At 51.1% G+C, this 19,010-nt stretch overlaps 2 protein-coding genes and 1 long non-coding RNA gene across 5 annotated transcripts in view, besides 5 other annotated features; all 3 read left to right on the top strand.

The window, feature by feature from the left end:
- The window catches only part of ARPIN-AP3S2 (ARPIN-AP3S2 readthrough), an 82,354-nt gene extending 77,225 nt beyond the window's left edge, over positions 1–5,129 (top strand). Inside the window, exon 10 of the mRNA NM_001199058.2 lies at positions 85–5,129. Coding sequence (NP_001185987.1) covers positions 85–213 — 129 coding nt within the window. The 3' untranslated portion in view covers positions 214–5,129. The remainder of the gene's footprint in view (positions 1–84) is intronic.
- The window catches only part of AP3S2 (adaptor related protein complex 3 subunit sigma 2), a 63,396-nt gene extending 58,267 nt beyond the window's left edge, over positions 1–5,129 (top strand). For all 3 annotated transcript variants that reach the window (NR_037582.2, NR_023361.2, NM_005829.5), the window contains one exon: positions 85–5,129. Coding sequence is in view for 1 of the 3 variants with exons in the window: in NM_005829.5 (NP_005820.1) it covers positions 85–213 (129 nt within the window). In the remaining 2 variants the exon portion in view is untranslated. The remainder of the gene's footprint in view (positions 1–84) is intronic.
- Positions 7,486–8,377: an enhancer, noted in NCBI's record as "H3K4me1 hESC enhancer chr15:90370583-90371474 (GRCh37/hg19 assembly coordinates)". NCBI's record gives its function as "activates a minimal SCP1, AML or CMV promoter by ChIP-STARR-seq in primed H9 embryonic stem cells {active_cell/tissue: H9 hESC(primed)}" and the evidence as "EXISTENCE:reporter gene assay evidence [ECO:0000049][PMID:30033119]".
- Positions 10,261–10,310: an enhancer, noted in NCBI's record as "active region_10056". NCBI's record gives its function as "activates an Ori minimal core promoter by ATAC-STARR-seq in GM12878 lymphoblastoid cells {active_cell/tissue: GM12878}" and the evidence as "EXISTENCE:reporter gene assay evidence [ECO:0000049][PMID:35858748]".
- Positions 10,274–12,544, top strand: LOC124903551 (uncharacterized). The gene is made up of 2 exons (XR_007064753.1): positions 10,274–10,768; positions 12,029–12,544. It is a non-coding gene; the product is annotated as an uncharacterized LOC124903551 (long non-coding RNA).
- Positions 10,360–11,033: an enhancer, noted in NCBI's record as "H3K4me1 hESC enhancer chr15:90367927-90368600 (GRCh37/hg19 assembly coordinates)". NCBI's record gives its function as "activates a minimal SCP1, AML or CMV promoter by ChIP-STARR-seq in naive H9 embryonic stem cells {active_cell/tissue: H9 hESC(naive)}" and the evidence as "EXISTENCE:reporter gene assay evidence [ECO:0000049][PMID:30033119]".
- Positions 12,951–13,451: an enhancer, noted in NCBI's record as "H3K4me1 hESC enhancer chr15:90365509-90366009 (GRCh37/hg19 assembly coordinates)". NCBI's record gives its function as "activates a minimal SCP1, AML or CMV promoter by ChIP-STARR-seq in naive H9 embryonic stem cells {active_cell/tissue: H9 hESC(naive)}" and the evidence as "EXISTENCE:reporter gene assay evidence [ECO:0000049][PMID:30033119]".
- Positions 13,452–13,952: an enhancer, noted in NCBI's record as "H3K4me1 hESC enhancer chr15:90365008-90365508 (GRCh37/hg19 assembly coordinates)". NCBI's record gives its function as "activates a minimal SCP1, AML or CMV promoter by ChIP-STARR-seq in naive H9 embryonic stem cells {active_cell/tissue: H9 hESC(naive)}" and the evidence as "EXISTENCE:reporter gene assay evidence [ECO:0000049][PMID:30033119]".

Raw genomic sequence — 19,010 nt, 5'->3', positions numbered from 1 at the left:
TTTGCTTTTTTTTTTTTTTTTTTTTTAGCATTAAGCAGATAACAGTGAGAATTTGTCTCATACTCGCCTCTCATTTCTTCTTAGGGTGGCCTTTCAGCAGCCCCTGCGCGGGCTGTGTCTGCTGTGAAAAACATCAACCTGCCAGAGATTCCTCGGAACATCAACATTGGCGATCTCAACATCAAAGTTCCCAACCTGTCCCAGTTTGTCTGAGGATCAAGTATTGGCCTGAAATAGAGTCCTTAAGACAAGCAAAGACAAGCAAGGCAAGCACGTCTGGAAACAGAACCCATTTTGAGCCTTAGAAGAGTCAAGCCTCAGGACCTGGAAACTTTGTGTCTGGGGAAGACTGTTTGGCATGGAATAGGGAAGGGATTCCTATTGACACTGCTCGGGTGCACCCAGTTCTCACATGTGCAGTCATGCCGTTCTCTGATGCATACGGCCACTGCAGATGTGAGGGGCCCTGCCTTCCTCAGTAGGGAGTCAACATGCCCAAGTCATTTGCACCTTTACCTCTCACATGGATGCTCCCAAGGGTTAGGGACTGCATTGAGCAGGCCCACCTGCTTCCCAGAACCTCCTCACTAGGGCTGAGCACCTTCTCTGAGTAGAGTCTTCATCCTTAGCACCACAGACTTCTGAGGTCCTGTGCCCTTTACTTGCTGGTGAGGTGTCATAGGTAGAAAAGGGCTGGCCCTTCAGATCTGGGGGTGTGGTGAGTGGCAAGTAAGGGCAGAATTTTAGGAGAACCAGAGTCACCCGCTGGCTCTACTGAGATTGTTACACCCAGAATCCTTTTGTGTTTTTTTGTGGTTTTTTTTTTTTGAGGTGGAGTCTTGCTCTGTCACCCAGGCTGGAGTGCTGTGGTGCAATCTCGGCTCACTGCAACCTCTGCTTCCCGGGTTCAAGCATTTCTCCTGTCTCAGCCTCCCCAGTAGCTGGGATTACAGGCACCCACCACCATGCCCAGCTAATTGTTGTATGTTTAGTAGAGACAGGGTTTCACCATGTTGGCCAGGCTGGGCTCGAACTCCTGGACCTCAAGTGATCTACCCGCCTTGGCCTCCCAAAGTGCTGGCATTACAGGTGTGAGCCACCGTGCCCGGCCACCAGAATCCTTTGGTATAGCCAAGCCTTTTGGTTACCGCCTCATGAAGAATATGCTTCCCGCATTGTCCTAGTCCCAGTTGTATTCTCACAGGTGTTATGTGCAGGACACAATCCAAATCATAAACCTGGCTCATGCCCAACACATTTCTGCTAATAGGGAGAGGGACCCACCACACACCCACACATGCCAGAGGTCCCTCCTCACAGAGGAGAGGGCCTGTGTCTGTAGAAGGTTAAAGCTGACAACATGTGAAACATCCCAGAATTATGACTCTTCCCAAGTTTAAAATACATTCTCCTCATGAGAGCAGAAGGTTTGTTGCTGTGTTGTGAATGATGAGCTGCCTCCATAGGGAACCCACTGCCACCTGGGCCAGCTTCTGGAGCATGAGAACCTGAGCCAGGGTCACCCTTGTGGGGCCTGGACATGACGCACGCTGGCTGCGACTAGGAGCAGGGCTGCCTCTTCTCCCTCCCCAAGGTCTGCTTGTGGGCACGCTCTGTTCCCTCAGGTGCCATTCTCCCAGGGCTTAGGCGCCCATAAATGTTCTTTCTGTGGTGGAGTAGGGCCTCCTGCTTCCATACTGTCGCATGGGCTAGATCTCAGGTGTGGTGTTGAGCCACCTTAAGATGAGGGCTGCTTCGCAGTAAAGTTTCCAGCCTGGGCCCCTCTTGGGCCTTCTGGCTGGGGACCCTCAGCCTCCTGATGCTGTTGCAGGGCAGGTCTGAGAGGGTGCCCAGCAGCACCCGGTGTCAGGGCCACCTTGTTTTCCATTTTTGAACAGCGCTCCCTGTGGTTTGTGCCCACTGCTCAATACAGCCTCCGATCCTCACTCTTGAAAGCTCCATGATAAGCACAGAGATGGGCAGTGTGGGTCAGAAGGTGGGCCGCTTCCTGTGGAAGAGGGAAGTGTAGGTGAATAGATATCAAAACCCCTGATGTCATTCTTTTGAGGGGTTGGATTTTCTTTTTTCTGGCAGACATTTCAGTACATTCACATTTCTCTCACATTTGCTGAATGTGAGATCAGAATAAAGGAGATCGGCGTTTATTTCGTACCTTCTGTAAGTTGGCATGAGCAAGATCATTCAACTGTCCTTACAACAGGCATTCTTATCCCCATTTTGCAGATGACGAAAGTAGACCCAGCTCCAGTAACCTTCCCTTAGATTACACGGGGCTGAGATCTGAGACTGTTCACTTGACTCCACTGTCCTTTTCTTTCCTCGCTGCTTAAGATGGCTTCTCCCAATGTTATCATCTTCTTTTTTATAGATAAGGAAACTGAGCCTCAGAGAGTCTGACTTCTCACAAACCGTGGTCTAAATAGGCTTGATTTTCTAAGGTGGCCAGTGATCATGTCATAGAGTATAAGAGCCAAAGAGTCGTCTGTGTCCCTCCATTTAACTGATGTTGAAGCCGAAGCCCAAGGTGGTAAATGTTATGTTGAGGGTCACAAATCCAGAGCCACATCCCTCTTCTTGAGTTCGTTTGTTACGTGGTTTAATGCATTACTGCAGGACAGCCCTTATGCTAGATTTCCTGGGATAGCCTAGATTTTGAATGTTTTGCCTGCCAGAAACCAATGGTTTTAAAAAATCATTGAGTGGTCCTACAGATTCAAAGCGAGCATCCAAACATCCCTCACATGGCCTCTTACAATGACATAAAACTGAAGCCCACTTTTTTATTTGGAAAACTCAATCCCTTTGGACAAGCCACAATAATTTTTCATTAACTACTTGAGGTTGCCTGCAAATTCAGCTAGCTTTCCAGCCTGCTATCAGCAAAGCCATAAACATCTTTTTTAAAAATAGGTTAAGGTTGGCCAGGTGCGGTGGCTCACGCCTGTAATCCCAGCACTTTGGGAGGCCGAGGCGGGCAGATCACGAGGTCAGGAGATCGAGACCATCCTAGCTAACACAGTGAAAACCCATCTCTACTAAAAATACAAAAAATTGGCCAGCCGTGGTAGTGGACACCTGTAGTCCCAGCTACTCAGGAGGCTGCGGCAGGAGAATGGCATGAACCCGGGAGGCAGAGCTTGCAGTGAGCCAAGATCGCACCACTACACTCCAGCCTGGGCAACACAGCAAGACTCCGTCTCAAAAAAAAAAAAAAAAAAAATAGGTTAAGGTTGTATAGAATACTAGGCTTTCCTTTTTTTGTGAGATGGGGGTCTCACACTGTGGCTCAGGCTGGAGTGCAGTGGTGTGATCATGGCTCACTGCAGCCTCGAAGCCCCGGGGTCAAGTGATCCTCTCACCTCAGCCTCCTAGGTAGCTGGAACCACAGGCACGCAACCACCACTCCTGGCTAGTTTTATTTTTTTAGTAGAATAAGGTCTCACTATGTTGCACAGGCTGGTCTCTAACTCCTTACCTCAAGCCATCCTCCCGCCTTGGCCTCCCAAACATGTTGGGATTACAGGTGTGAGCCACTGGACCTGGCCAAATACTGGGTTTTCAGTGCTCACTGCCACTAATAAAAATCTGAAATTCTTTCATTATGCAATTTCTAAGTGCCTGGTGAGGGCCAAGCTCAGTTCTAGGCTCTGAAGATTAAGAGAGAAACAAGGCTCTGTCTGCTCCTGTTGTCTCTGTGAGCATCTTTGACAGAGTGCTCAGATTGTTGGGATATAGTGCATCGGACTGGCAGCCTGAATTTGTGGAGACCGCAGTCAGTAACTTTGTGATATATGGAATATTTAGAGGACAGTAACCCATTTCCCTACGCCCTACCTGATCACATCGTGCCCTGCTGGGCCATACCCCAAACAGCCCACCTTCCTCTAGGCCTGGCCATGGCCCTGTGCCTGCCACATTGAGGATTAAGTCAGGATATCTTGAGCCCTCTCAAATCCCTGTTTATTCAGGCCTCTGCCACATATAGAGCCAGCCTTCTGTCCCCACCACTTCCACTACCATGGAGCCCACTTAGTAAAACGCTCTCTGGGCCCAGCTTCGCCAGAAAAGACACCAGGGGAGCAAGGCTCAAACCAGGGGCAGCTAAATCTGATCTTGTGGACCAGTCTCTAGTAAGGGCTTTCAGCGTGGCTGTCTGTCCATTGCTTTCCAAATAGGATGCAGCAATGATTGGTACATGGGTATTAAGATCGGTAGTAGGGGCTAGTCCAAGTTTAGCAATAGCCAAACTGGAGAGCCTCTGAAGTATGAGAGTCCCAGAGGGATTTGTCAGCTCCTGGCAGACATCCTGATTTTCACCTTCCTGAGTCTACCCTACCCCAGAGGGTGCCAGTCTCACTGTGGTGATGGTTAGCCCAGTGTGTGCTGCACTCACACACCAGCACGGGGTCCGTGCTTGCAGGCTGGTGGATGCTGTCCTCTGGGTTAAGACTGTCTCCCTTCTCGGGAGCACTGGAGGGTTCTCCATCTGCGTGTTTCAGTGGAAGTTGGCAGATACGAAAACAGGCCCCTATAGGGAAGCAGTTCCATGAAAATGATTAATTCTTTCCAAAAGACTTAAAATTTTTTCCTATTTCAATTTTCCTTTCAAAAAAGGAAATACATTCATGTAGTTCAAAACTTAAGAAAACAAAAGTCTGTTCAGCAAAAGACTCCCACTCCGGTTCCCCAAACGCTGAGCCCCACCCCCCATCCCTGGTAGCAAGAAGTGTTTCCAATTTTAAGGTTAAGAAACAAAGTCCCTGGATTTGTGTTAGGGATGTCTTCCTGAGAGTGGGTTGTGTTCCGTTTGACCCTGGCGGTTGACCTCGGCCCACTAGGATCATGCCGCCCTCTCCAGGGAGGAGGGCCTCCCCATCACCCTGTACAGTGGCACCCCAGCCCTGGCACTGCCCGCCCTTGCTCAGCGTACCTTTCCCATGGCACTCTGACGTACTGGATGTTTGGTTTCTGAAGTTACTGGCTGTTTACCCTGCCGGGATGTAAGCCCCTCCAGGGCAGGGGCTTGTCTCGTGTTCAGTGCTGCATCCCAGCTGCTGGGCACGGTACCTGGTCCATGGCGTTCAATAAATAACTGTTGGATGAGTGAACGGTTGAGGCAAATGGCAGTTCATTCTAACAGTCTCAGCATGTGCTCTCCAGGTCCCTGTGCTCAGCACTTGGGAAGGAGAACCAGAATAGTGGTATTGGAAGCAGGAAGTGGGAAGGACCCGATGATGGCTCGTGGAGGCTGAGGGAGAGGAGAATGGCAGAGCTGGTGTTGGCAGGTGGAGCCCGTGTAACGAGGAGGCGCAAGGATGGGGCTCTCGAGAGAGGGAGGGGGTTTGGGAGGGTGGCAATCAGGAGTTTGGATGTGGAACGCATTCGGTTGGGGTTGTCCAAGCATCTCTGGGGGCAGATGTCCACCAGCCAGCTGGGAAACTGAGTGGGCAGGAGAGGAAATGAGTCTCCACCCAGAGATGATGATTGGAGGTGTGGGGGTGAGCGCTGTGGCCGAGGGACAAGAGGGTTGAGGACTGAGCCTGTGGGCAGGGGAGAGAGGAGCATCTGGACAGCGGGCGACTTCAAGTCAAGGAAGCACTTTCAGTGGGGAGGGGGACCAGGAAGAGACGGCCTCTCTCAGGCTTCCATTGGCCCCAGCCCAGCCCCCCGAGTGAGAACTGTGAAGAGATGGCTCTAGCCTCATGGTGGGGCAGGTCCAAACTTAGTGTGGGTCACAGTCCAGCTCTGCAATGTGCAGTCTGAACCTTCGGAAGATTCAGTTTGCTCATCTGAAAAAGAGGGTAATGATTCCTGCCTTGTAGGTTACTGTGTGGATTCAGTGAATCACTGATGCGGACGATGAAGGACTCACTCAGTCAACATTGGCTACTCTTATCACTGAGACTTGCAGAGGGAATGGGAGTTGAGGAGGTGGATGGAATAAGTTCGATGATGCTGGGAAGGAGAAAGAGCTCAGGTCCTGGCAGAAGGGGAAGAGGAAATGAGGGCAGCAGAAACCAAAGTGGGCCTTAAAGGAGGGCACTGCACGGGGATGGTGATGCACACTGGCCCTGGCCTGGCCTGTCAGTGGGGTCCCACACCCGTATCCAGAGGCACAGCTAGATAAAATGGTTGAGGAGGTGGTGGGGTCTGCAGAAAGTGAATCTTAAGATGGGGAGCGTCTGAAGACATAGAAGAGCAACTAGCAACTGGCAGGACCCACGGTATGGGGGTCAGAGGGGAGAGGAGCCTGGAACTTCCTTTCCCTGGAGTCAGGAGGGACATCTGGCAGTCCCAGCAAGCACGGCGGGAGCTCGAATCTGGGGACCAGTGAGAGGGCCTCTGACCTCGCAGGCCTGGATGAGAGTTGGGGCCCCTGCAGGGACTCCACGCTTCCCATGAGAAGTGGGATCTTTGAGCCTTCTCAAGAGCAAACCTTACATTTTAGTACAGCTCTGACAGCCTGGCCTCCCGGGAGCACTTGGAAACAGGGGTGTCCCCTCCCCCAGCCTCCAAGGACCAGGCTGCAATTTCAGGAGAGACAAGCTGGAGGTTGCCTTCTGCATTGCTGAGAATGAACGCCCTTTGCACACTGTGAAAGAAAGGCTAAGCTAAAATTGATAGACAGGAGTTCCAGGTAGTTTTCACAAATGAGTCCCCTGGTTCCGCAGAATGAGGTGATGCTCAAAATATTTACCAACCAGCATGGCTCAGGCATTGACCAATCAGGATGGAGGTAGCTGATTTAGGGGTTGGGGGTTACTGGTGTCACATGTGGGCTCTGCCGCCAGGATCCCTTCCTCTTCCTTCCGCCGGGATCCCTTCCTCTTCCTTCCAAGGCAACATTCCTTCCGAGGCAACAGCCACATCTCAGGGCTGCTGCAGTCTGCTCCTTTGCTTGCCTGGGAGAGTCAGAGATGAGGCCTGTGGGTTGTGTGTGTGGCTGCATGGGTCAGCGTGCCTCCTCCCACTTGGGCACTGTGGTGGGAGGGACAAGTCATCTCATACTTCATCTCTCTGGACACTCCCAGGCTAGCACTGAAACTGGAGGCCAAAGGACAGCCCCAAACCCAGGGCACTTTGTGCTGCCAAAGATCACCACCTTTGCCCTAGGCAACCTGGAACTGAAGGTTTTCTCCGGCCTCTTGGTCCGGGGCACTTGACATGAATGCCCTTTCCCTGACCCCTGTCCAGCCCTGAGTGGCTCCCCAGCTGGGTGTGGGCTGGCTAGAGGGAGCTGCGGACCGAAGCCAGCAGCACCGAGGCAAGCCAGGATTTAAACTGTCAACTGCCGAGCCAGCTCTACTGGAACTTCCTTTGTGTGGCTGGACCTGCTCCCACAACACCCGTCAGTTCACGTAGAGGGAGCTCCCGCAGGACTCAGCTCCTTCGGGGTGTTTTTTGCTGAGATTCCCCTTCTGAGTTCCCGGCCTCTAGCTGCCTCTTCTCCACCATTTGGGCCCTGCCTCAGCCCTAGAAACTGTCAAGCAGCCCAGTAGCTGTTTAAAGTACATAATGATATTACAGGGTTGGAAGGAAATCCTTGGGTCCAGACCCTGTGTCAACCAGGTGAGGGTTACGGTGACACTACCTGGCCTTGCAGCCTGAGCCTGGTACAGGTTGACACCCTGAAGCAAGTCCTCCTTGTCAGGTCCCGCCCAAGCCTTCTTGTCAGCCCAACTGGCTCAGCCCCAGCCCAGCTCTGCCCAACTGCCCTGGGCTCCCCTGCCCTGGAGAGGCCAAAGGCCACCCTTTCTCTGGGTGTCACAGCTCCCCTTTGCTCTGGGCCCACAGTCCCCGGCATCCCCAGCCCCTGTCTTCTCATCCCTGACACGAGTTTCCCTCCCTGAGAACTCACTGCCCCCCAGCACCAGATCCTGCACGATAGTCAGTGGTCCTGGAGCCCACATGTCACCACTGCATCCTCCACCCCAGTGTCCCTGCCCGGACACCACCACAACCCCTCAGGCCCCTCAGCAGTGTCTCTGCCTCCCCCTCTGTCTCCTTGTGGCTCATGTCATCGCTCCACCGCAGAGTGAACCACCTCATGCATTCATCAGACCCCCACTGCCCTGCAGCCTTTAAAGCCTCCCAAAAGCTTCCCACCAGCCTCAAAGAAACCCAAGGCCCTGCTTAGCTGCCCCCACCCACCCCACATCCTCATCTTGCACCCCTGCCTGGCTCCCTCCTTCCAGCCACACTGGCCTTTATGCTTCTCAAACCTGCCGGGCTCATTCCCACGCAGGGCCTTTGTCTTGCCATCCCCTCTGCCTCTGTCTTCAGGTCCCCCTTGCTCCTCACTTCTCTCAGCCTTCACCTGCAGAGGACTTCCCGGTCCCACCTGGCTGAAGCAGCCACTTCTCCCCTCACTCCCCATCCCTCACCCCACTTTGTCCTCTGTGGCGCTTGTCACCCGATATGACAGTGTGTGCCATGTCGACTCTCTTTTTCACTGTTGTTTTGCTGCTGCCTTGCTGGTGCCTGGGACAGTGCCTGACCCATATTCAGCTGTCAGTAAGTACGAGATTGCTCAACAAATCAATGAATGCATTCAACTCCTTCCATTTCCCTCTCAACATGCGTGAAGCTCCACGCTCTACTCAGCCTTGAGGGCAGGAGGCACTGTGTGGTGGGGGCACAGGCCCAGCTTCCTGTCTCACTGTGTGACCCTGAGCCAGTCCCTTATCTGCCCACTTCCAGGTGGTCAGAATGGTGTGTGAGAGGGCATTTTACTATGATACATAGTCCTAAAGCCCTGAAGGAGACGTGAACTTGGTTTGATCCTGCCTCTGCCACTTCCAACTGTGTGACCTTGGGCAACACACCTAACCTCTCTCTGTTGTGTTTCCTCAGCTGGGAAATGGGAACACAGCGGCTCCCTTGCACCAGTCAGGATTCCCAGTGCAAAGAGAACCAACCCAGAAAGGCACTCGCTGAAGGGCTGTGGGGAAGCTCTCACAGGCTCAAAGGGAAGGCGGAAAGCCTAGACTGAAACTAGCCAGGCTGCAGACAAAACCAAAAGTCCACCTGGCATGGTGGCTCACACCTGTAATCCCAGCACTTTGGGAGGCCAAGGTGGGCAGATCACGAGGTCAGGAGTTCAAGACCAGCCTAACCAACATGGTGAAACCCCGTCTCTACTAAAAATACAAAAAAAAAAAAAAAATTAGCCGGGCGTGGTGGCACATGCCTGTAATCCCAGCTACTTGGGAGGCTGAGGCAGGAGAATCGCTTGAACCTGGGAGGTGGAGGTTGCGGTGAGCTGAGATCGTGCCACTGCACTCCAGCCTGGGCAACAGAGCAAGACTCTGTCTCAAAAAAAAAAAATTCTACAAAATGCAAACCAATCTATAGTGACAGAAAGCAGATGAGTGGCTGCCTGGGAATGGAGTTGGGGAGACGGGTGGGAGGGAGGGACGACCAAGAGACTCAAGGAAACTTTTTTGAGGTGACCTGTCAGTGAATTATCCCTATCATACAGATGAGACAAATGAGGCTCTTTGGGATTAACTTACTTGCTGATGGTCACACAGCTGTGAAAGGTCAGGTCCAGAATGGGAGCCAGGTGTGCCTGAATCCAAACGCTGTGTGCTTTTTTTTTTTTTTTGAGACAGAGTCTCGCTCTGTCACCCAGGCTGGGGTGCAGTGGCATGATCTTGGCTCACTGCAACCTCTGCCTCCTGGGTTCAAGCAATTCTCCTGCCTCAGCTTCCTGAGTAGCTGGGACTATAGGCGCACGCCACCACACCTGGCTAGAAACCCTGTGCTTTTTAACCTTGGGTGGAAGGTGACTAGCAGACAAGGGGCCAGGAGTGAGGGTCCTTAGGATTGAACACGGGCTACACAAAGAAACCCAGAGATGGCCCCTGCTTAAACATGGTGTTCCAAAGAGTGACACGTGGGATGAAAACAAGGTGGGCTGAAGCCAGGCCCCACAGAGTTTTCAGAGCAGGTCCTGGTGCCCTGGGCGAGACGGCACAGAACAGCACCGCAGGGGGCTGGGGCCAACTTGGACTTGCTTGGGAGAGCCAGCTGTCCACATTTCAGTAATGTCATGGGTCAGTTGTCAAGCATAGCCATCATTAAAAATTAAATTGCATATGCTCACAAAGTATGTCAAAAGAGCAAAGGTAATATGCAACACTTACCACTTCCTGATTATGTTAACATGTTTGACTATCATTTCTGCTTTTGGGGTTATCCACGCCTCTTGTATCTGTGCGGTGGAGACATCATACCCTGGTGTGCCACTGGGCATCTGTTCCCAACTCCACATCCACAGCAGCTTGAAATTGGACAGGGCAGGGTTATTTATTTACACCATGGAAACTGGTAAATGCTAAAGTCAGGGCCAACGCCCTGCACCCTGCGCCCACTCTCTGCCGGTTGCTAAACACTTTTGTCATTACATCATTGAGCCCTAGGGTCTTGGGCCACCCCCATGGGGAGCAGGAGGCCTGGGACTGTGGCTGAAGGAGGACGCATGGAGTCAGAGGCTACGAGGCCCGGAACTGCCTGGAATGATGGTATAAGATGGCCAGGATGCACCGAGCCCTGCTGCCCGGCACGTTTCTCATGCATTTGCTCACTGCTCACTACCACCCTGAGAGGCAAAGCATCGTTACCATCTGCTGGTGGGGAAACTGAGGCACAGAGAAGTGACTTACCCAGGGCCACTCAGCTAATAAGTGTCACAGCCAAGATATGAAGCCTGATCCTTAACTGCCACGCTCTGCCCCCTTCAAAGGTACAAGTGTCGGACTGGGGATCTGGCCTAACCCTTCCCTGAAACCTCCAGCTGTGTGCAGGCCCCAGCCCCCAGAAGCCTGGAGTGAATTTCAGTGACCACTCAGCCTGTGGCCCCGCTTCCCCTGTAGGCAGCCAGTAGTGGGAGCCACGTTTCATGCAGATCTGAGGGCTAGGGAGGCCAGATGCAGGTGGGCCTCTTCCCAAGACAGTCGGGGTCCTTTCTCCAGGTGCCCTGGAGCAATATGGGCCAAGTTGGGTGGGTGGAACCGCTACGGCCTCCTGAGGGCTCAGAAGAAGAGAAATTCCAGGAATGCAGCCACCTGAGGGACCGCTCAGGTGACAGAACCCCCGAGCACCACCAGCCCGTCCTCAGCCCTCTTTTACTGGCAGTCTGCCTTATGCCGGTGCCGGGCACACTCAGGAGGGAGCAGACTCCATGCGGGGGAGCCTGCCGCCAGTCCCCCTCCCAGGGGAGAGAGGCAAGGGGGCTGCTGCAGGTCCAGGGAAAGGCTGATGCATTGATGGTGGGAGAGGAGGCAGCGTGATGCTTTGCATGGAGTTTGACCTTGGCATTGGTGGAGTCCTGAAGGATTTTCAACAATTTAGGGGAGAGAGAGGGAGACAGTGACATCTCCAAAAGGTCAGTCCGGCTGCCAGTGGAGCAGAGGTTGTGGTGAGGGCAGGGGGACCACCTAGGAGGCTGGAGTGGCCAGTGAGCGGCTGCCGCGTCCTCCCCTAAGGCAGAGCACAGGGCAGTGGCTGCAGAATTGAGCAGAATTGAGGCCTATTGGATAGGGGACAGGGAGGCAAAGAGCCTGATGGGCGTGGCACCCTTGGCCAAGGTGTAGGGGCAGGATGGCAGGGTCAGGTTTGGAGGTATATTTGAGAGCCCCCAGGATGCCCGGTTCAGATGACTACAAGGAGCTGGTTCTGTGGAGGGGGCTGGGCAGGACGTCTTAGGCCATGGGTGAAAATGGAGGATGGTGTCCAGGGAGATGGTGAACCCGTGGGAGTGGGTGGGACATCCGTGATGGAGAAGAGGAGACCTCATGCCCAGGACAGATCGGAAGGCATGAGGTCTCCTCTCCCACCCCCACCCAACCCCCTCTGTAGAGGGGACAGCTTGGAGGTGTGAGCCACACCACCTGGTCAAAGACCCACTAAGACAATCCCTGGGGGGCTCCTCTCCAAGGGCTTCTTAAGGGCTGGGCATTGCTAAATGCTGTACAGGATTTTTCTCATTTAATTCTTACAACAGCCCCAGGGATTGTCCCCATTTTACAGAGGAAGCTGATGGCTCAGGCGTGAGTAACCACCCCAGGCCAGTGCCCAGCTTGTGTCAGACCTTCTGAGGAAGCCAAGTCTGTCTGACCACAAAGCTGCCTCCTACCCAGCATTCCTCTGCAGGGTCCCTGCCCTGCCCTGCCCTGGGGGACTCCTGGGGGAACCACATCCGTGCTTAGGTGTGGCATCCAGGGGGCACTGGGGAGGGAGCCCGCCGAGGGGTGCCATGCGGGACTTGGCGTCCCCACCTGCCTGGTCCATTCCTCCCCCCACCCCACTCTGCCCTGCCCTGCTGCCACCTCAGGGACCTCTGTGGGCTCTAGGTCCTTTCCATCCCTTCCACAGCCTGGACAACAACAGGCCCTTTCCCACTTCCTGAGAAAGTTCCCAAAGAAGTTCATTGTAAAAGCTACTCTTTGTCTTTTTTTTTTTTCCAAAAAATGTGTTTTTAATCAATTTTATAATAAAATCCAAACTGAGTTCTTGAAAACAACAGCAATAAGAAATTGAAAAAAAAAATCTCAGTGCCAGGAAGTACTGACTCTAGCACTGCCCTCCCCAGCCCCAGCAGCAGCCCTGGTGCCCCATTCCCCTGACTCCCTCCCCCACTGCTGGTCACCAGGCCTCCTGAAGCCACCTCTGGAATATCCCTGAACTGCTCTCCTTCTGTCTCTGGAGGGCACCCCACCCCCCCACCCGCCACCAACTGCTCTTCCTGCCTCCTACCTGGCACCCTTCCAATCTGGTCCCCAAACTGTCCCCAGGGGCTCTCTCTAAAAGGCAAACCTAATTCCATCAGTGTCCTTTTCTCCAACTTCATCAGGGATTCAGGATTCCCAGGAATAGAGCTCAATTCCCTAGCTCGGCATTCAGGGCTCCACTGTCCCTGAGCACTCCAGCCTCCCCCTCGCCATGCACCGGACCCCCTGCTTTTGGAAATGTTGGTCCCTCTGCTACGGACACCCTCCCTCCACCTGTCCATCTGACAATGCACCTCATTCCTCAACAGTGCCCCATGGACACTCACCTTCTCCTGCCCTCCCTCGTCACAGTGTGGGGGTTTCTGTCATCTCACCATTCTATCCAGGCTGACCTCGAAGGCCTGGGCTCCAGCGATCCTCCCACCTCAGCCTCCTGAGAAACTGGAATGACAGATGCACACCATCATGCCCTGCTTTGGTTCTTTAGTTCGCCCTATATGTGCCAAGTCCTGTGCTAAGTGCTGCATACAGTGGAAAACAGCGCAGGCAGGAACCCTGCGCCCACGGAGCTTATTATCCCTGCTGTTGTTGCCCAGGTAGACCAGTCATCCTCGGTGCACGGGAGCCACGCATACACACAGCTGACCAAAGTGCCTGCAGGCAGCCTGTGCTGCTTAAGCTTGTGGGGAGAGGGAGGTTTAGAAACAGCTGCTCCCGTCCTCACCAAGGGACTCCAGCCTAGAGAAGGAGTCTTTGGGGAAAGTCCCCCACTAAGCTGCCACGCCCTGAGATCACGCACCCTCTCCCAAGGGCTCTTCCGAGCACCACGTGGGGCTGAGTTACTGAGATGGAGGTGGCAGCAAGGGATGCCACGCAGGATGAGCAGGGAGGCATCATTCTGAGTCCTGCCTGCCCCTCCCACTTCCACCTTTTCTTTTCTCTCTTTTTTTTTTTTTTTTTTTTTTGAGACAGAGTATTACTCTGTCGCCTGGGCTGGAGTGCAATGGCACGATCTCAGCTCACTACAACTTCTGCCTCTTGTGTTCAAGCAACTCTTGCGCCTCAGCCTCCCAAAAAGCAGGAATTACAGGTGCATGTCACCACGCCCGGCTGATTTTTGTATTTTTAGTAGAGACAGGGTTTTGCCATGTTGGCCAGGCTGGTCTTGAACTCCCGGCCTCAAGCAATCCAACCTCCTCTGCCTCCTAAAGTGCTGGAATTGCAGGTATGAGCCACTGCACCTCACCCTTTAAGCAGTATTTTAATGGTTTTGTAGTGGTGGGTGGTTGCTATGAAAATCTCACGTTTGTTCTAACAATTCAAAGAATAAACAAGCATATAAGGAAAAAATGGATAGTCTCTCCCCTGTCTCCCTCCCCCAGCCCACCCCTGGCTCAAGTCAACCTCACTGAGGCAGAGTGGGTTAATAATTTGGCAAGTTCATTTCCATTTCATCCCAGCACTCATGACAATACACCCGAATGACGCACCCAGAGAGAGGACCCTGCAGCTTTGCTGGGTCAGACAGATGTGGCTTCCTCGGAAGGTCTGACACAAGCTGGGCACTGGCCTGGGGTGGTTACTCACGCCTGAGCCATCAGCTTCCTCTATAAAATGGGGACAATCCCTGGGGCTGTTGTAATAGAGGGTGAGATGAAATGCATTGCTTGGAACTTGCTTTTGAACTTAAAAATGTACGAACAGACATCATTCCAAGGTGATACATACAGAGTTAGCACACACGCTCTGTGACTGTGTACACTGTTTCCTGTGGACCTTTATTCACTTGTTTAAAGGGTGCTCTACAGACATTTTGGCTTATTTTTCTTCTCGAACAAGGAATGCTCTAATAAGCCTCCTCCTGCATGAATGGTTTAAGCAGTAGTTTCGTTACTCCCTGGGTTTAGGATAAATTCCCCAAAACAGGATCACTGGATGAAAGGGTAGCTGTGGTTAAATTGTGAATAGGGCTTGCCATTTTATTCATAGCGATTCCCATGTGCCCCAGGACTGTGGGGGGATCCCAGTTCCCCACACCCTGGCCGACTCTAGATGTTATCCGTTGGTCTAGACCTTGGCCAACATCATAAGTGAAAACTGACATCTCATTGTTTTGAAATTGTGTTTCCTGAGTATGACTAAGGTTAAACATCTTTTCACCTGTTAGTTGGCTTTTAAAATTTCCTCCTCTGTGAAGTTTCAGATCTAATCCTTTGCCCGGTTTTCAGTTGTGTTGTTTTTATTTTATTTTATTTTCCCAAGTCCTATTCTGCCCTAATGTTTGTTTGTTTGTTTATTTATTTATTTTGAGACGGAGTCTCACTCTGTTGCCCAGGCTGGAATGCAGTGGCATGATCTCGGCTCACTGTAAGCGCCGCCTCCTGGGTTCACGCCATTCTCCTGTCTCAGCCTCCGAAGTAGCTGGGAGTAACAGGCTACCACCACCACGCCCGGCTAATTTTTTGTATTATTATTATTTTTTTTTTAGTAGAGACGGGGTTTCACCATGTTAGCCAGGATGGTGTTGATCACCTGACCTCGTGATCCTCCCGCCTCAGCCTCCCAAAGTGCTGGGATTACAGGCGTGAGCCACTGCGCCTGGCCTGTTTTTATGTCTTTTACAAACACCTTGTAGGACCTTTTTAGGACATTATTGATATTAATCTGTTGTTGTTTATATGTGTTGCAAATATTATTGTCCAGTGTAATATTTGGCTTTTGCCATACAGAAGTTTGTATATATTTAAGTTTTCCTTTTGTTATGGAAATTTGAAAACACACTAAAAAATAACAGTAATAATGAACCCTCAATATACCCATCTCTGAGAGTCAACAGTTAGCAACATATAGCTAATTTTCCCCTGTTATGGAGGGTTCTTTTTGACTTTGCTTGTGGTGGTTGTGCAATGCAGAGATTTTTACCTTTATGTAGTCAACTGTAGCGGTCTTTTCATTTGTGGAGTATGGATTTCATATACCTAAAAAGGTCTTCCCACTCCACGATTATTAGCAAAACAAAACAGAAAGTACTCTTTCAATACTTCTAAAATATGATTTATTATTATTATTATTATTATTATTATTTTGAGACAGAGTTTCGCTCTTGTTGCCCAGGCTGTAGTGCAGTGGCGCGATCTCGGCTCACCGCAGCCTCTGCCTCCTGGGTTCTAGTGATTCTCCTGCCTCAGCCACCTGAGTAGCTGGGATTACAGGCATGCGCCACCATGCCCGGGTATTTTTGTATTTTTAGTAGAGATGGGGTTTCTCCATGTTGGTCAGGCTGGTCTCGAACTCCCGACCTGAGGTGATCCACCTGCCTCGGCCTCCCAAAGTGCTGGGATTACAGACGTGAGCCACCGCGTCCAGCTATGATTTATTGTTTTTAGAATGGTAGCATAGTACTTTTTTCATATAGAAGCCCATAATTTATTTAACCAATCCTCCATTACTGAACATCTAATTGTTTCTGATTTTCCCCTATTTTAAATCATGCTGTATTGAGCATTCCTGACTTCTCCACCCCTTCTGGATTAGGTCAAAGCAAACCTGAGACATCAAATCATTTCATCCACAAATATAAGTTTATAATTTTTATTTATTTTTTTTTTGAGAAAGAGTTCTGCTCTTGTCGCCCAGGCTAGAGTGCAATGGTGCGATCTCAGCTCACTGTAATCTCTGTCTCCTAGGATCAAGTGATTCTCCTGCCTCAGCCTCCTGAGTGGCTGGGATAACCGGTGCCTGCCACCATGCCCGGCTAATTTTTGTATTTTTAGTAGAGACAGATTTTCACCGTGTTGGCCGGGACTCCTGACCTCAGGTGATCCACCTGACTCAGCCTCCCAAAGTGCTGGGATTGTAGGCATGAGCCACTGCGCCCAGCCAAGTTAAAAAAAGTTTTTAAAATAGAGATGGGGTCTTGCTATGTTGCCTTGGCCTCAATCGATGCCCCTGCCTCGGCCTCCCAAAGTGCTGGGATTACAGATGTGAGCCACCTCACCTGGCATTCAAATTTTTATATTATAGCCAGGCGCAGTGGCTCACGCCTGTAATCCCAACATTTTGGGAGGCCAAGGCAAGTGGATCACCTGAGGTTGGGAGTTTGAGACCAGCCTGACCAACATGGAGAAACCCTGTCTCTACTAAAAATACAAAATTAGGTGGGTGTGGTAGCACACGCCTGTAATTCCAGCTACTCGGAAGGCTGAGGGAGGAGAATCGCTTGAACCCAGGAGGCGGAGGTTGCAGTGAGCCAAGATTGCGCCATTGCACTCCAGCCTGGGCAACAAGAGCAAAATTCCATCTCAAAAAAAAAATTATATTATAAAGCCTGTTAATCTTCTGGTCTTTCGTCTTCACTTTTAATTTTATTTATATTTTGATTAGACACGGTATTCACATGGTTCAAGATTCAAGAGAACAAAAGGATATGCTGAAAAATGCGTTTCCCACCCTGTTCTCCAGCTCCAGTTTCCTTCCTGGGAAACAACTCGTGTTATCAGCGCGTGCACATATAAAAGCAAATTGTGTGTCTCTGTGCTTTTTCCATTTAAGTACAATTGATAAACGACTTGAACACGGCTCTGCGTCTAGGTTTTATTACTAAACAACCTGTCCTGGGGAGCGTTCTGTAAGGAGAATCCTAGTTATTTTTGATAGCCATATGCATTCCATTGCAGGGCATACAATAATCATTCATTTATCCCATCTCTATTGGTGGACATTTAGGTTGTCTCCAGCTATTAGATTGGTGCAAAAGTCATTGTGGTTTTGGCTCAATGTTGCAGCGATGCAGTGGAAAGCCTTGTGTATTCCTTTCACTTACGTGTGAGCATTATCTGTAGGATAAATTTCTGGAAGTGCCAAGTCAAACAGGACATGTGTTTATATGTTTGATAAATACTGCCCAAATATTCTCTTTTGAGGTCGAGTCAGTCTACACACCAACCAGCAATGCAGGGGGTTGCCTGTTTTCCTCCCACCCTTGCGAATAGTGTGTTACCAAACTTTTTTTTTTTTTTTTGAGACAGGGACTCACTCTATCGCTCTGGCTGGAGTGCAGTGACACGATCATGGCTCACTGCAGCCTTGACTTTTCAGGCTCAAGCAATCCTCCCACCTCATTCTTCCAAGTAGCTGGGACTACAGGCACGTGCCACCACGCCTGGCTAATTTTTTTTTTTTGGTAGAGACAGGGTTTTGCCACGTGGCCCAGGCTGGTCTCGAACACCTGGTTTTAAGTGATTCTCCTGCCTCAGCCTCCCAAAGTGCTGGAATTACAGACATGAGCCACTGTGCCTGACCTACCAAACTGCTTTTTATCTTTGCTGATCTGGTAAGTGAAGAATAGTATCTTTTGTAGTTATAATTTTCATTTTCTTAATAAGTGAGTTATTGAACATCTTTTTACATGTTTATGAGCCCATGAATTTTCTTTCTGCAGGAGCAAGCACTGTCTCTTCATCTTTTTTTTCACAGGGGGTGGACAGAGTCTCTCTCTGTTACCCAGGCTGGAGTGTAGTGGCGCAATCTCGGCTCACTGCAACCTCCACCTCCCGGGTTCAAGCGATTCTCCTGCCTCAACCTCCCCAGTAGCTGGGATTACAGGCACCCACCACCATGCCCACCCAATTTTTGTATTTTTAGTAGAGACAGGGTTTCACTGCATTGGCCAGGCTGGTCTCGAACTCCTGACCTCGTAATCTGCCTGCCTTGGCCTCCCAAAGTGCTGGGATTACAAGCATGAGCCACCACGCCCAGCCCACTTAGGCTATTTCTGATTTTCCAGTATTATAAGTAATACTGCAGTGAAAAGCCTTGCATATAAATATTCTATTTCCTTAGGCTAAATTTATTTATTTTTTTGAGACAGTCTTGCTCTGTAGTCGAGGCTGGAGTGCAGTCATGTGATCTCAGCTCACTGAAGCCTCTGCCTCCCAGGTTCAAGCGATTCTCGTGCCTCAGCCTCCCAAGTAGGTGGGACCACAGGCATGCGCCACCACACCTGGCTGATTTTTGTGTTTTAGTACAGACACAGTTTCACCAGGTTGCCCAGGCTGGCCTTGAATTCCCGACCTCAAGTGATCCACCTGCCTTACAGGCATGAGCCACCACGCCCAGCCTCTTCAGGCTAAATTTCTGAAAGTGATCTTCATTCCTAACCCCAAACTGCCCTCCAGAAAGCTGGGTTGCACTTCTGCCACAGCAGGATCTTTACTCCTCTTAAAATCTCCGCGGAGCCTGGGTGGGAGAGGCAGA

Source organism: Homo sapiens, chromosome 15, assembly GCF_000001405.40.
Source record: "Homo sapiens chromosome 15, GRCh38.p14 Primary Assembly".
Taxonomy (NCBI): Eukaryota; Metazoa; Chordata; class Mammalia; order Primates; family Hominidae; genus Homo; species Homo sapiens.
The sequence above is the reverse complement of the archived record's forward strand: the minus strand, read 5'-3'. Positions and strand labels throughout refer to the sequence as shown.